Source organism: Homo sapiens, chromosome X, assembly GCF_000001405.40.
Source record: "Homo sapiens chromosome X, GRCh38.p14 Primary Assembly".
Lineage (NCBI taxonomy): Eukaryota > Metazoa > Chordata > Mammalia > Primates > Hominidae > Homo > Homo sapiens.
The window spans coordinates 152,344,643-152,361,477 of NC_000023.11; the positions used below are offsets into that span (position 1 = coordinate 152,344,643).

General features: G+C 37.4%; 1 protein-coding gene across 2 annotated transcripts in view; it reads right to left on the reverse strand.

The window, feature by feature from the left end:
- GABRA3 (gamma-aminobutyric acid type A receptor subunit alpha3) overlaps window positions 1-16,835 on the reverse strand; it is a 285,082-nt gene that overhangs the window by 178,409 nt on the left and 89,838 nt on the right. For both annotated transcript variants that reach the window (XM_006724811.4, NM_000808.4), the window contains exon 3: window positions 939-1,060. In XM_006724811.4, coding sequence (XP_006724874.1) covers window positions 939-1,060 — 122 coding nt within the window. The remainder of the gene's footprint in view (window positions 1-938; window positions 1,061-16,835) is intronic.

The window sequence follows — 16,835 nt, forward strand, 5'->3', positions numbered from 1 at the left end:
ACATTAACATTACCAGTAATGGAGCAAACAGACTTCAAGTCCCTTCTTGAGCAATGTGCTGATAAAGACATAATTAACTCCTATGGTGTTACTTTGAAAATAAATATGGAAGATTTAATCAATGTCATGAAAGACAAAGAAATGCTGAGTGTAGGCTAAACAGACACAACAATAAATGTAATGCATAATCCTAGATTGAATCCTAAATCAATGAAAATTTCTATAAAGTACATTTTGGGGATAATTGGAAAAATTTGAATATGGACTACAGATTACAAAAGAGCATTAGATTACATTTTGTGAATTTATAATAACCCGTGATATATTATAATATATTTACCTTATTGTGATCATATTGCTGATTATACTAAACTGATGGCCAACTAAGATCTCACATAGCCAGTAGATTATTCCTTTTTGGAGTGTCAGGCTGATATATGCTCAGGGTTTTGAAAACAAAGGCATGTTTCTCAGCTTTTCCTGGACCACACCAGTCACCCAGGCAGGTATTGGTATTCTGTTACTAGAAATGGGCATTGTCTAACCTTGAGGGAGAGATGCTCCTCAACTTACAAGACCCCATCCCAATAAACCCATCATAAGTTGGAAATATAGTAAGTCTAAATCCATTGGGCTATGTCCCATAAACCCATCATAAAGACAAAAATCATACGTCAAACCATTGTGAGTCATGGAACATCTGTGTATTACTCCATATGCACCTAGCAAAAACCTAGAATCTTCTGAAGCCAGACCAGAGAAATCACCTACTGAAATGAAGGATTATGACTAATTTTTAGTGCTCATAGGGAAGAAATTCAGCTTTACACTAATCTCATTGGCCAATAGACTACTGAAGGCACCTTATAACTGTTTTTAGATAACAATGGCCAAGAAGAAGATCTGAAAAGGACTTCAAAGATCTTAAAAGGACTGACCTCCAAGCCCAGGTCGCAGCCGGTTGTCATAGCCGTCCAGAAGACGATCCAAGATTCTGGTGAAGATAGTGATGTTGTCAGTGCTGTCATCAGGAATATCTGGGGCATGCTTAGGAGACAGCCTGAGGCAATGCAAGGAAAAGAAAAAAAATAATAGTTCTTAATAGGAAAAAAAATACATGACTAGATATCGTAATTCAAGATTTCAATTAATAGACTGGGCCAATTACATAGACCTATATCTTATCCAAAATAGCAATCACTACATATTTGTCACAATGATTGCTTGTGTAGGAGGCAGACAGTGTGGTTAATACTCGAACTCTTACTCTAGCATTGGTATGAGCTTTGCCAGGCATATATCCTGGCCCCAACCCAGCAGTAAAGAGACACAAGTAGAAATTCTGGACAGAATGTCACTGAGAACATTTCCCGGCATACAGTTGGTTCATCAAATTGTGTTGCATGATTAAACAGGCATCAAAATAAAGAAGGGAAATGTTACTGAGAACTTACCTCACTTCTAGCCCAGAGAAATTTAAGTTCACAGAAAAACAGGGTTAGACAGATCCTTAAATTGTACATAGTCTACTTCTACCCTCATCCTATGGGGAAAGGGAAAACTATTTGCTGAATATCAAGAACATACACTGGAAAAAAAGACAGTCTTTTCAATAAACGGTGCTGGGAAAACTGGATATCCATATGCAGAAGACTGAAACTAGACCCCTATCTCTTGCAATATACAAAAATCACATCAAAATGGATTAAAAGACTGAAATCCAAGACTTCACACTATAAGACTACTACAAGAAAACTTTGGGGAACATCTCCAGGACATCAGTCTGGGCAAAAATTTCTTGAGCAATACCCTACAAGCACAGGCAACCAAAGCAAAAATGGACAAATGGGATCACATCAAATTACAAAGCTTCTTCACAGCAAAGGAAGCAATCAACAAAGTGAAGGGACAACCTACAGAATGGGAGAAAATATTTGCAAACTATCCATCTGACAAAGAATTAATAACCAGAATAGATAAAGAGCTCAAACAACTCTGTAGGAAAAAGTATAATAATCCAATTAAAAATGGGCAGAATATTTGAATAGACATTTCTCAAAAGAAGACATACAAATGACAAACAGGCATATGAAAAGGTGCTTAATATCACTGATCATCAGAGAAATGCAAATCACAACTACAATAACATATCATCTCACCCCAGATGAAATGGCTTACATCCAAAAGACAGGAAATAACAAATGCTGATGAGAATGTAGAGGAAAGGGAACCCTCGTACACTGTTGGTGGGAATGTAAATTAGTACAACCACTATGGAGAAGAGTTTGGTGGTTCCTCAAAATATTAAAAATAGAGCTACCATATGATCCAGCAATCCCACTGCTGGGTATATACCCCAAAGAAAGGAAATCAGTATATCAAAGAGATATCCGCACACCCATGTTTGTCACAGGACTGTTCACAATCGGTAAGATTTGGAAGCAACCTAAATATCCATAGTAGATGATTGGATAAAGAAAATATGATACACGTACACACTGGAGTACTATTCAGTCATAAAAATAATGAGATCCTGTCATTTGCAAAACATGGATGAAACTGGAGATCATTATGCTAAGTGAAATAAGCCAGGCACAAAAAGACAAAAATTGCATGCTGTCATTTATTTGTGGGAGCTAAAAATTAAAACAATTGAACTCATGGAGATAGAGAGTAGAAGCATTGTTACTAGAGGTTGGGAAGGATAGTGGAGTGGTTGAGGGAAAGTGGGGATGGTTAATGTGTATAAAATAATAAAAAGAATGAAACCTAGTATTTGATAGCACAAAGGGTGACATCAGTAGTAATAATTTAATTGTACATTTTAAAATAACTAATTGGATTGTTTTTAACACAAAGGATAAATGTTTGAGGGGATGGATACCACATTCTCCATGATGTGATTATTTCATATTGCATGCCTGTATCAAAACATCTCACGCACCCCATAAATATATATACCTATGATGTACCCACAAAAATGAAAAATTAAACAATTCTTTAAAATCCTGAATAGAAGGCCAATACACTGTGCTTGCTTTCTTACTGAAATACTAGCTTCCATGAGAATGCATTTCCATTTCCTCCTGGTGACTGTTGATATCTTAGCATCATTCTTCATCAAAAAGTTGAAAACTTTTAAGTCAAAAAGCAATGCTAGTTTGTGACCAGTCTGGACAATATGGCGAAATCCTGCCTCTACAAAAACACAAAAATTAGCTAGGCATGGTGGCACACCTGTAGTCCCATTTACTGGGGAGGCTGAGGTTGGAGGATTACTTGAGCCTGGGAAGCGGAGGTTGCAGTGAGCTGAGATCATGCTACTGCATGGGCAACAGAGCAAGACCCTGTCTAAAATAAATAAATAAATAAATAAAAATCAATGCTAAATATCACCCCCAAATTATTTTCAATATATTGTTCTATGGTTTTATTCTTTATTACTGATTTTTTTTCTCCTAATGTGCACTAAATTATTGTGTGGGGAAGCAGATTTAATCTGCGACCTAAGTAGAACTCTTTCTTATTCAGTAACTAAACTGCAACGTGATCCTATAGTTTGAATTCAAAGGTAGTTTGGGGAAAAAAGGAATCATGGCATGTCAGAATTATGGAGAAGCTTAGATATTGTATAATTCTCTCCCTTCATTTTACACATGAGACACCTAAGACACCAACACCAAAGAGAGAAATGAATTGCTTGATGCTATGTGTTTATCAACTTAATGAGAGCAACACTAAAACATGTCCATTGCACCTCATATTTGCCACTACTGGTTAGATAAAATATGATAATAATAATAATTCATCATTGAAAAATGAAAATGACGTTACTAATACACTATCTGAAGGTTATGCCAAGTTTAGTCATTTTCCTAGCCCTAAAGATGGATCAGTGGTAAATTCACAGGACCAGAATCAAATGACTAGAATTTAGTTCTGTCTCTGCCACTAACTGACTGTGAGACCTACAGGCATACCTCTGGGATATTGTGAGTTTGGTTCCAGGCCACTGCAATAAAGCAAATATCACAATTAAGTGAGTCACAAATATTTTGGTTTCCCGTGCATGTAAAAGTTATGTTTATACTGTACAGCACTCTATTAAGTGTTCAATAGCATTATGTCTAAAAATCAATTTACATACCTTAATTAAAAATACTTTATTGCTAAAAAAATGCTAAGAATCATCTGACGCTTCAACAAGTCATAATCTTCTTGCTGGTGGAAGGTTTTGCCTCAGTGTGGATGGCTGCTGACCAGTCAGGGCAGTGGTTGCTAAAGGTTGGGGCAGCTGTGGCAATTTCTTAAAATAAGACAACAATGAAGTTTGCCTCATCAATTGACTCTTCTTTTCACAAAAGATTTATCTTCAGCATGTGATGCTGTTTGGTCGCATTTTACCCACAGTAGAACTTCTTTCAAAATTGGAGCCAATCCTCTTAAACCCTGGCACTGCTTTATCAACTAAGTTTATGTAATATTCTAAATCCTTTGTTGTCATTTCAACAATATTCACAGCATCTTTACTAGGAGTAGATTCCTTATCAAGAAATCACTCTCATTGCTCGTCTGTAAGAAGCAACTCATCCCTTCAAGTTTTTTCACGAGATTGCAGCAATTCAGTCACAACTTTGGGCTCTAAAAGAGCTCCTGAAGGAAGCGCTAAACATGGAGAGGAACAACCGGTACCAGCCGCTGCAAAATCATGCCAAAATGTAAACACCATCGAGACTAGGAAGAAACTGCATCAACTAACGAGCAAAATAACCAGCTAACATCATAATGACAGGATCAAATTCACACATAACAATATTAACTTTAAATGTAAATGGACTAAGTGCTCCAATTAAAAGACACAGACTGGCAAATTGGATAAAGAGTCAAGACCCATGAGTGTGCTGTATTCAGGAAACCCATCTCACGTGCAAAGACACACATAGGCTCAAAATAAAAGGATGGAGGAAGATCTACCAAGCAAATGGAAAACAAAAAAAGGCAGGGGTTGCAATCCTAGTCTCTGATAAAACAGACTTCAAACCAACAAAGATCAAAAGAGACAAAGAAGGCCATTACATAATGGTAAAGGGATCAATTCAACAAGAAGAGCTAACTATCCTAAATATATATGCACCCAATACAGGAGCACCCAGATTCATAAAGCAAGTCCTGAGTGACCTACAAAGAGACTTAGACTCCCACACATTAATAATGGGAGACTTTAACACCCCACTGTCAACATTAGACAGATCAACGAGACAGAAAGTCAACAAGGATACCCAGGAATTGAACTCAGCTCTGCACCAAGAGGACCTAATAGACATCTACAGAACTCTCCACCCCAAATCAACAGAATATACATTTTTTTCAGCACCACACCACACCTATTCCAAAATTGACCACATAGTTGGAAGTAAAGCTCTCCTCAGCAAATGTAAAAGAACAGAAATTATAACAAACTATCTCTCAGACCACGGTGCAATCAAACTAGAACTCAGGATTAAGAATCTCACTCAAAACCGCTCAATTACATGGAAACTGAACAACCTGCTCCTGAATGACTACTGGGTACATAACAAAATGAAGGCAGAAATAAAGATGTTCTTTGAAACCAACGAGAACAAAGACACAACATACCAGAATCTCTGGGACGCATTCAAAGCAGTGTGTAGAGGGAAATTTATAGCACTAAATGCCCACAAGAGAAAGCAGGAAAGATCCAAAATTGACACCCTAACATCACAATTAAAAGAACTAGAAAAGCAAGAGCAAACACATTCAACAGCTAGCAGAAGGCAAGAAATAACTAAAATCAGAGCAGAACTGAAGGAAATAGAGACACAAAAAACCCTTCAAAAAATTAATGAATCCAGGAGCTGGTTTTTTGAAAGGGCTTTATTTCTAATTATAGTTTTCTTGCTATTTCCACCACATCTGCAGTTACTTCCTCCACTGAAGTCTCGAACCCCTCAAAGTCACCCATGAGGATTGGAACCAACTTCTTCCACACTCCTGTTAATGTTTATATTTTGACCTGCTCCTCTGAATCATGAATGCTCTTACTGATATCCAGAAAGGTGAATCCTTTCCAGAAGGTTTTCAATGGGCTTTTCTTGGATCCATCAGAGGAATCACTATCTATGGAAGCTATAACCTTATGAAATGTATCTCTTAAATAATAAAACTTGAAAGTCAAAATTTCTTCTTGATCAATGGGCTGAAGAATGGATGTTGTATTGTAAGGATGAAAACAACATTCATCTTGCACATCTCCATCAAAGCTCTTGGGTGACCAGGTGCATTGTCAATGAAAAATAATATTTCAAAAGGAGTACTTTTTCCTGGGAAGTAGACTGCAACCGTGTGCTTAAAATATTCGGTAAACCGTGCTATAAACAGATGTGCTGTCATTCAAGCTTTGTTATTTCATTTACAGAGCATAGAGAGAGTGGATTTAGCATAATTCTTAAGGGTCCTAGGATTTTCCCAATAGTAAATGAACAATGGGCTTCAGCTTAAAGTTACCAGCTGCATTTGCCCCTGACAAAAGAGTCAGCCACTGCTTTGAAGCTTCAAAGTCAGGCATTTACTTCTTCTCTCTAGCTATTAAAGTCCTGAAAGACATCTTCTTCCAATAGAAGGATGTTTCTTCTACCAAAATCTGTTGTTCATGTAGCCACCTTTATCAATTATCATAGCTAGATCTTCTGGAGAACTTGCTGCAGCTCCTCCATCAGCACTTGTGTCTCACCTTGCACTTTTATGTTATGGAGATGGCTTCTTTCCTTAAACCTCATGAACCAACCTCCACTAGCTTCAAACTTTTTCTGCAGCTTCTTTATCTCTCCCAGTCTTCACAGAACTGAAGGGAGTTATAGCATTGCTTTGAATTAGACTTTGCTTGAAGAGAATGTTGTGTCTGGCTTGATCTTCTATCCACTAAAACTTTCTCCATATTTGCAATAAGGCTGTTTCACTTTCTTATCATTTATGTGCTCACTGGAGTAGCATTTTTAATTTCCTTCAAAAACCTTTCATTCGCATTGACAACTTGGCTAACTGCTTGCCACAAGAGGCCTAGCTTTTAGAGTATCTCAACTTTTGTCATGCCTTCCTTACTAAGCTTAATCATTTCTAGCTTTTGATTTAAAGTGAGAGCCATGTAAATTTTTATTTCACTTAACACTTAGAGGCTATATAGGGCTACTAATTGGCCTATTTTCAACATTACTGTATCTCAGGGAGAAGGAAGGCCTAAGGAGAGGGAGAGAGACAGGGGAATGGCCCTTCAGTGGAATAATCAGTCAGAGCAAACACAATATTTACCGATTAAGTCCACTGTCTTACATGAGTGGAATTCATGGTGCCCCAAAACAATTAAAATAATAACATCAAAGATCACCAATCACAGATCACCATAACAGATATAATAATCAAGACTTTGAAAATTTGCAAGAATGACCAAAATGCGGCACAGAGACATAAAGTGAGCACATGCTGTTGGAAAAATGGCACCAATAGACTCACTCAACACAGGGTTGCCACAAACATTCAATTTGTAAAAAACATGCTATCCACAAAGCACAATAAAGTGAAGCACAGTCAAATGAGGTATGCCTGTATTTCCATATATGTAAAATGGGGATAACAATAACCTACATTAGAAAACTTTTGAAATAAATAGGTAAATAAGATAATAAATACAAAATTGTTTTATAAATGAAGGTTGTTCATTAACTTCCCCCCAAACTCCTGAAAATGCAATGAAAAACCTTTACAATACATTATCTTTTAGGCAATGGGAGAAAGTCAAGATCACTGACCATCTAGAGCATCCTCAATGAAGCTGTCAAACTCATGCTGTCACTGCCAGCATCCTTCATTGAGGATCCTGGTGTGTTTATGTTAAGGGAAAGCAGGAGAGGCACAAATGTGGAGTTGCTGACGCAGTTCATACAACATCCCAAAGAGGAAAGATACTTACTTCATTAAAAGGATGGCATTTTTCCTAAACCACATATTTCCTGGGAGAGAGCAGATTTTTTTAAATAATAAAAATTCGGAATTACTGAGCATATTATGTCTCTGCATCGCTCACAAACCTTTCATAACTCTTCATAGCTAACCAAATAAAATTCCAATGCCTAAGCCTGACAATCATGGCCTTCTGCAATCTGTTCCTGATATACTTTTACAGTTGCAAATTCTACTACTTCTCTTTCTGACCACCAATCACAGGCAAATCAGATTACTCACCATTTCCAAATATTCCTCATGTTTTCATTTTTCAAGTCCAGTCTTTCCTATAAGTGGAAATGTTCAACTAAAGATTCAGCACTAAGGATGCCAGTTATATACTAGGGAGGAAATGAGAAACACCTAGAATTCAATAGCACACTTTCTCTTTACAGAAGCTGCTTGAAGAAAAAAAAAAAGAAGAAGAACTAACCTGATTTTGGCTAGAATACGCCAAATCCATCTGAAAAAGACAGCTGTTCTTTTCTGAAATAGCTTATATGGACTGGTAATAAAACTACAGAGGTACTGACTTGAGACACACCTACCCACTTGGTAAAATAAAGACCAAGTCCTTCATGCCTTCTTAGTAACTAAAAGCCACTGCTTCACAAAAAAGAGAAATATTTAATTAGTATATGTTGTGAATGATAAAATAAGCTAGTAGACATATGATTCCATGTGACCATAAGCAGACATATCGCAATTTAAAATGTGTCATGAACCAAAGTTTGCAAAGAAGCAGGGGTACATTCTTCCTTTGAAACAATGCCATAAAGGGTAGCTAGTTTTCTAGACAAGAGTAAGCAATACTGTTTCTCATGGTTAATCTGAATGACTGTAACCATAGTGCCAATGCATGAGCACTATTTTGGCAACGTTTCTGGTTAAGCAGGTATTAATAGGCCAACCTGAGAACCATTTATAACACTGTTTATGTGGAAAGACATTTTTTGACACAAAAGAAAAGAAAACTAAAGTACTAAAAATATTATCTCCCCTACTATTATTTGTTCTTTACCCCCACACCCACAGCCATGATCAAAGCAATGAGCTGGCCATCAGCTCAAAGACTTTGAATTAATCCTGATGGTTGATATCCTTACAATGGCGAGTCCCGACAGTCATCACCCTAAGCAAGTGATAAAATTCAGTATCAGCCATACTGAGACAACCTTGCCTCCTGACATAACGCAACAGGAAGCCACAACATCACCTACAAAGTATCATTGATTGTGGCCTCACATGTCCATCCCTGTTCTGTGTTACAAATTCTGCACTTCCACCTCAAAAGGGAAAATGGTAGGATAAAATTACATTTCTTATTTCTCCAGGTCCTATAAGAAAAATGCACTTGCCACATCTGAACATGGTCTACCCAGCTATGTGGCTGAGATATTAAGAATTCAGTGGTTGAGAGGTTACTATATGTAAGTAAATATTCAGGTATGTAAAAGAAATTGACATGTGCCTCATTCTTACTTAAAAGTAACCAAACTCAGGAAAAGCAATATATCATAATGATTAATAGCATGGACTCTGGAACCAAACTTTCTGGGTTTCAATCCTAACTCTTCTATTTTCTAGCTGTGTGAGCTTTGGCAAGTTACCTGACCTCTCTCTGTCTCCATATTTTATCTGCAAAGGAATAATAACATCACTTAGCTATCAGGTCTGTTATAAGGATTATATTAATCAACATATATTAATAACTTAGAATAGAGCTTGGTATATAGGACTCTATGAATATAAAGTTTAAACTAACATAATGGAATAAGTAAGACTAAGGAATCGAATCTCAAAAAAATGGCTTAATTAGATAACAAGGGAGAGTGTCCAGTTTGAAGCAATGTCTGGAAAACCATATTATGCCAAGAGAATATTTGAAAGGAATGAGAGTTAGCCTGCAGACAAGAAAGCATGGAGTATATCTGAAAGCCACTATGTGGAAAAAGAAGCAAATGTTGCAAATGTTACAGGGCCCTATAACTAGGAGGTGTTTGAAGAAGGTGGACTTCAGCTCAATATAGGAAGCACTTTCTAACCCCTGGAGCTATGCCCTGTGGTACTAATGCAGCTTATCACTGCAGAGATTCAAACTGGTAGGTGAATCATCAACCATAAAGCAGGAGGGATTCTTTCCCAGGATAGGAGCCTAGGAACTGACAGCCTCTCAGGTCCCAAGTCTGGTTCTGAAATTTTAAGATTTGATGGTCAAATGCTAAGAGTATTGATGCATTGATTCTTTAATAGAAATTACATGTAAATGGAAGGGTTTGGACTTTTCATACTTATATTCCAAGTAAAAGTAAGTACATGTGTGGCCACAGGTGACAGTTTATTCTGAGATTAAGAGAACTGAGAAAATCATTTTCAAGATGAATACAGATGCTTACAAGCACTGACACCTTTAGATAGTAGAACCAAGTCAGGCTGTAGATATGACAAGGAGACAAGCAACTCCCCAGCAGTCTCCTCTTCAGTTCACTGCATCAGTTGTCACCATGGCCACCACCATATGATGTTGATGCAGAAAATGTGTTAATATAGTGTCATATTCCTCCCAAATCATAGTCCCTACTCTATTAGTAGTGTGGAAATATGCGGCCTTGTGTGCAGCATATTTCGTTTGCCTTTTCACTATTCTCCACCCCGTTCTCCTTTCTAGAAGGCTAATTTTTATGCACTACATTATGGGCGCCATTGGCCTATTGCTTCAACTTGAGTTTGGCCACCTTGGCTGAAGATCAGAGGAAGACGAAAAGACTGGGCATGTAACTCCCTGGCTCTCTCCCTGTGAAATCTTCTCAGGCTGGCTGTTTCCTCCACCAAAAATCTGCACCTCTGAAGAAAGCTTGATTTACATGATATGTGTGCTGTTCACCTTAGGTTCTTACTCTATTCCTTGCGGTTTCCCTCCACTTAGATCATAACTTTATGATTAGTCTCTGCAAATATATCCTCCTCAAATAATTGAAATGTCCCATCTGTATTCTCTGGGATCCTGACAAATTCAACAAATTGCAGTCAGACCTGGCATTTGCTGCTTAGGCACTTACGTGTTGACCCATTATGAAAATTGCTGATATTCAATCGTTCTGACCTAGCAAAATGTCAGTTTCAAAATGGTTCAACTTGACATTGTTCACGTACATAATTCCATTTGCTAATGGTCAAAATACTTGACCAGGAACCAGGAGTATAGGAAATTCATTTATTATATGAAGTTGAAATTACTCTCTGTAGCTTCTTATCAAAAATGCAGGACTGGGAATCAGAAACTGGTGCTCTAGACCTGGGTCTCTTATGAACTCATTGTAAGAAAGTCAATTTTCCTTTCTGGGCTTCAGTTTCTTCAGGTACAGATTAAAAAATCAGATTAGATGCTCTCTACAGGTTTTTCCATGGGTGCTGTTCTAAAGTTCCAGAATCCCAAATCCCAAACTATACTGTTAGTTTCTTAAAAACAGGAACTGTGTCCCCAAAGATTCCTTACACCAGAATCATCTGGGGCATTTTAGGCACTATTCCCAGAGCTACCAAATCATAATCTTCAAATGCAGAAGCCTGCTTTCTTGCTTACAAATACTGAATGTTGAGAACTATTACATCAAGCACATGAGTTATACAAAGTACTGGTCGATAAACCACTGTTGATTGTTAAAATGGCTGTGGCGGCCAATGTAGGTGGTTTAATTGAATAAATCATTAAAGTTGGATAAAATAATGCAGTAATGGATTTTTTTCAATACACAAAAACATAATTAAGAAAGTACGGAAATAATCAAAAAGCAGCAGCAGCTCTTAAGTACCACAACTATCAGCAAAAACTCTATACTTTAAAATTATATTGGATCCTTTATTTATGGCAAATACAACTCTAATATTTGTGCTTTTTATGATTAACCAAGTCTAATTTTGTCATAATTTTTTTCTTTACAGCTTTATTTTAGGTTAGGGGATACATGTGCAGGTTTGTTATGTAGGTAAATTATATGTCATGAGGGTTGGTGTACAGATATTTCGTCACCCAGGTAATAAGCATAGTACCCAAAAGGTAATTTTCCTATACTCACCCTCCTTCCACACTCTACCCTCAACTAGGCCCTGGTGTTTATTGTTCCCTTCTTTGTGTCCATGTGTACTCAATGTTCAGCTCCCACTTATAAGTGAGAACACATAGTATTTGGTTTATTGTTCCTGTGTTAGTTTGCTCAGGATAATAGCCTCCAGCTGCATCCATGTTGCTGCAAATGACATGATCTCGTTCTTTTTTATGACTGCATAGTATTCCATGGTGTATATGTACCACATTTATTTTATCTAATCCACTTTAATGAGCATTTAGGTTGATTCCATGTCTTTCCTATTATGAAGAGTGCTGCAATGAACATATGCATACATGTGTCTTTATGATAGAATGAGGTATATTCCTTTGGATATATATCCAATAATGGGATGCCTGGGTCAAATAGTAATTCCATTTTAAGTTCTTTGAGAAATCACCGAACTACTTTCCACAATGGCTGAACTAATTTACATTCCCACCAGCAGTGTATGAGATAGTTGTAGGTGTGCAGCATTATTTCTGAGCTCCGTATTCTGTTCTCTGCAACCTGACCAGCAGCTGTTATAATTTGACTTTTTAATAATAGCCATTCGGACTGATATGAGATGGTATCTCATTGTGGTTTTGATTTGCATTTCTCTAATGATCAGTGATGTTCAGCATTTTTTCATATGCTTGTTTGCCACAAAAAAATGTCTTCTTTTGAGGAGTGTCTGTTCATGTCTGTTGCCTATTTTTTAATTGGGTTGTTTTTTGCTTGTGAATTTGTTTAGGTTCCTTATAGATGCTGGATATTAGACCCTTGTTGGATGCACACCTTACAAATATTTTCTTCCATTCTGTAGACTGTTTACTCCCTTGATAGTTTCTTTTGCTGTGCAGAAGCTCTTTCATTTTATTAGGTCTCATTTGTCAATTTTTGGTTTTGTTGCAATTGCTTTTCATGTCTTCATCATGAAATCTTTGCCAGGTCCTATGTCTAGAATGATATTTTCTAGATTATCTTCCAGGGTTTTTGTAGTTTTAGGTTTGACATGTAAGTTTTTAATCCACCTTCCCAGCACCATTTATTGAATAGGGATTTCTGTCCCCATTGCTTGTTTTTGTCAATGCTGTGAAAGATCAGATGTTTGTAGATCTGTGGCATTATTTCTGGGCTCTCTATTCGGTTCCCTTGGTCTAGGTGTCTATTTCTGTACCGGTACCATGCTGTTTTGGTTACTACAGCCCCATAGTATAGTTTGAAGTCAGGTAGTGTGATGTCTCTAGCTTTGTTCTTTTTGCTTAGGATTACCTTGGCTATTTGGGCTCTTTTGGGGTTCCATATACATTTTAAAATAGTTTTTTTCTAGTTCAGTAAAGAATGTCATTGGTAGTTTGATAAGAATAGCATTGAATCTGTAAATTGCTTTTGGAAGTATGGCCATTTTAACAATATTGATTCTTCCTATCCATGTGCATGGAATTTTTTTCATTTGTTTGTGTCATCTCTGATTTCTTTGAGCAGTGTGTTGTAATGCTTATTGTAGAGCTCTTTCACCACCCTGGTTAGCTGTATTCACAGGTATTTTACTCTTTTATGGCTATCGTGAATGGGATTGCGTTTTTGATTTGGCTCTCAGCTTGGATGTTGTTGGTGTATGATGCTACTGATTTTTGTACATTAATTTTGTATCCTGAAACTTTGCTGAAGTTTTAAAATCAGATCAAGGAACTTTTGGGCAGAGACTTTTCTGGGTATAGAATCATATTGTCTGCAAACAGAGATAGTTAGACTCCCTATCTTCTGATTGGTATGCCTTTTATATCTTTCTCTTGCCTGATTGCTCTGGCTAGGACTTCAGTACCATGTTTAATAGGAGTAGTGAGAGAGGGCATCCATGTCTTGTTCTGCCTTTCAAGGAGAATGCTTCCAGCTTTTGCCCATTCAGTATGCTATTGGCTATGGGTTTTTTCACAGATAGTCCTTATTATTTTGAAGTATGTTCCTTCAATGCCTAGTTTGGGTGGTGGCTTATACCTGTAGTCCTTCATTTTAATGAAATAATGTTGATTTTTATCAAAAGGCTTTTATGCATCTACTGAGACAATTATGTGTGTTTTTGTTTTTAGTTCTACTTATGTGGTGAATCACATTTATTAATTTGCATATGCTGAACCAACCTTGCATTCCAGGCATAAAGTCTACTTGATCATGGTGGATTCAATTTTTGATATGCTACTGGATTTGGTTTGCTACATTTTATTGAGGATTTTTGCATCTACGTTCCTCAAGGATATAGGCCACAAGTTTTCTTTTTTGTTGTGTACCAGGTTTTGGTATCAGGATGATGCTGGTTCTCACAGAATGAGTTAGGGAGGAGTCCTTCCTCCTCAGTTATTTGGAATAGTTGCAGTAGGAATGGTACCAGTTCTTCTTTATATATCTGGTAGAATTTGGCTGTGAATTAATTTGTTCCTAGACTTTTTCGGATTGGTAGGCTTTTTTTTACTGATTCAATTTTGGAACTTGTTATTGGTCTGTTCAGGGATTCAATTTCTTCCTGGTTCAGTCTTAGGAAGTCGCAAGTTTCAAGGAATTTATCCATTTCTTCTAGGTTTTCTAGTTTGTATGCATAGAGATGTTCATAGTAGTCTCTGAGGGTTTTCTGTATTTCTCTGGGGTCAGCAGTAACATGTTCTTTGTTATTTCTGATTGTGTTTATTTGGATCTTCTCTTTTTTTCTGTATTAGAATAACTAGTGGTCTATCCATCTTATTCATTCTTTCAAAGAACACACTCCTGGACTTAATCTTTTGTATGTTTTTTTGCATCTCAATTTCCTTCAGTTCAGCTCTGATTTTTGTTATTTCTTGTCTTTTGCTAGCTTTGGGGTTGGTTTCCTCTTGGTTCTCTAGTTCCCCTAGGTGTGACATTAGGTTGTTAATTTGAGATCTGTGTAACTTTTTGACTTGGGCATTTAGTGCTACAAACTTCCCTCTTAACACTCTTTAGCCATGTCCCAGAGATTCTGGTATTTGTATCTTTGTTCTCATTACTTTCAAGAAATTTCTTTATTTCTGCCTTAATTTCATTATTTACCCAAAAGACATGCAGAAGAATACAACCTTAATATTTGGGCCATGCTTTTAGTAGTATCATGCCTCAAAAGTATTAATTGCACTGGGCTTGGAGGAAAGTAAAGAAAAAAATGTTTCTAATTCTTGCGATAGTTTACTGAGAATGATGGTTTCCAATTTCATCCATGTCCCTACAAAGGACATGAACTCATCATTTTTTATGGCTGCATAGTATTCCATGGTGTATATGTGCCACATTTTCTTAATCCAGTCTATCATTGTTGGACATTTGGGTTGGTTCCAAGTCTTTGCTATTGTGAATAGTGCTGCAATAAACATACGTGTGCATGTGTCTTTATAGCAGCATGATTTATAGTCCTTTGGGTATATACCCAGTAATGGGATGGCTGGGTCAAATGGTATTTCTAGTTCTAGATCCCTGAGGAATCGCCACACTGACTTCCACAATGGTTGAACTAGTTTACAGTCCCACCAACAGTGTAAAAGTGTTCCTATTTCTCCACATCCTCTCCAGCACCTGTTGTTTCCTGACTTTTTAATGATTGCCATTCTAACTGGTGTGAGATGATATCTCATAGTGGTTTTGATTTGCATTTCTCTGATGGCCAGTGATGATGAGCATTTCTTCATGTGTTTTAACAAAAAACCAAACACCGCATATTCTCACTCATAGGTGGGAATTGAACAATGAGATCACATGGACACAGGAAGGGGAATATCACACTCTGGGGACTGTGGTGGGGTCGGGGGAGGGGGGAGGGATAGCATTGGGAGATATACCTAATGCTAGATGACACGTTAGTGGGTGCAGCGCACCAGCATGGCACATGTATACATATGTAACTAACCTGCACAATGTGCACATGTACCCTAAAACTTAGAGTATAATAAAAAAAAAAAAATTAAAAAAAAAAAATTAAAAAAAAAAATTAAAAAAAAAAATAAATTAAAAAAAAAAAATGTTTCTAATTCAAGAAACAGAAACCAGGTGTGGTGGCCCACACCTGTAATACCAACACTTTGGGAGGTCAATGTGGGAAGATCTTTTGAGGTCAGGAGTTTGAGATCAGCCTGGGCAAGACAGTGAGACCCTATCTCTAAAAAATAATTTTAAAAATCAGCCACGTGTGGTGGCTTATACCTGTAGTCCCAGCTACTCAGGAGGCTCAGGCAGGAGGATCATGTGATCATGTGAGCCCAGGAGTTTGAAAGTTTGAAGTTACAATGAGCTATGATCACATCACTGCATTCCAGCCTGGGTAGCAGAGTAAGACCACGTCTTTAAAAAAAAAAAAAAAAAGAAAGAAAGAAAGAAAGAAAACATGCAGTGATTGTATTGCCTCTTTACTAAAACCAAGCACTTCACTCTGCTTTTTCAGGTAGGATTTCTTGGCCTACTCCTTGACATAATTACTAAAAACTAGGCTATCTGGTTTTCTAAGCATCAACAGGATGCTAACAAACCATTGTAAAGAGGACACGGGACATAAGAACTAACACTGGCTGGGCACAGTGGCTCATACTGGGAGGCTGAGGCGGGCGGATCACAAGGTCAGGGGTTCGAAACCAGCCTGACCAACATGGTGAAACCCCATCTCTACTAAAAATACAAAAATTAGCTGGGCGTGGTGGCATGTGCCTGTAATCCCAGCTACTCCGGAGGCTGAGG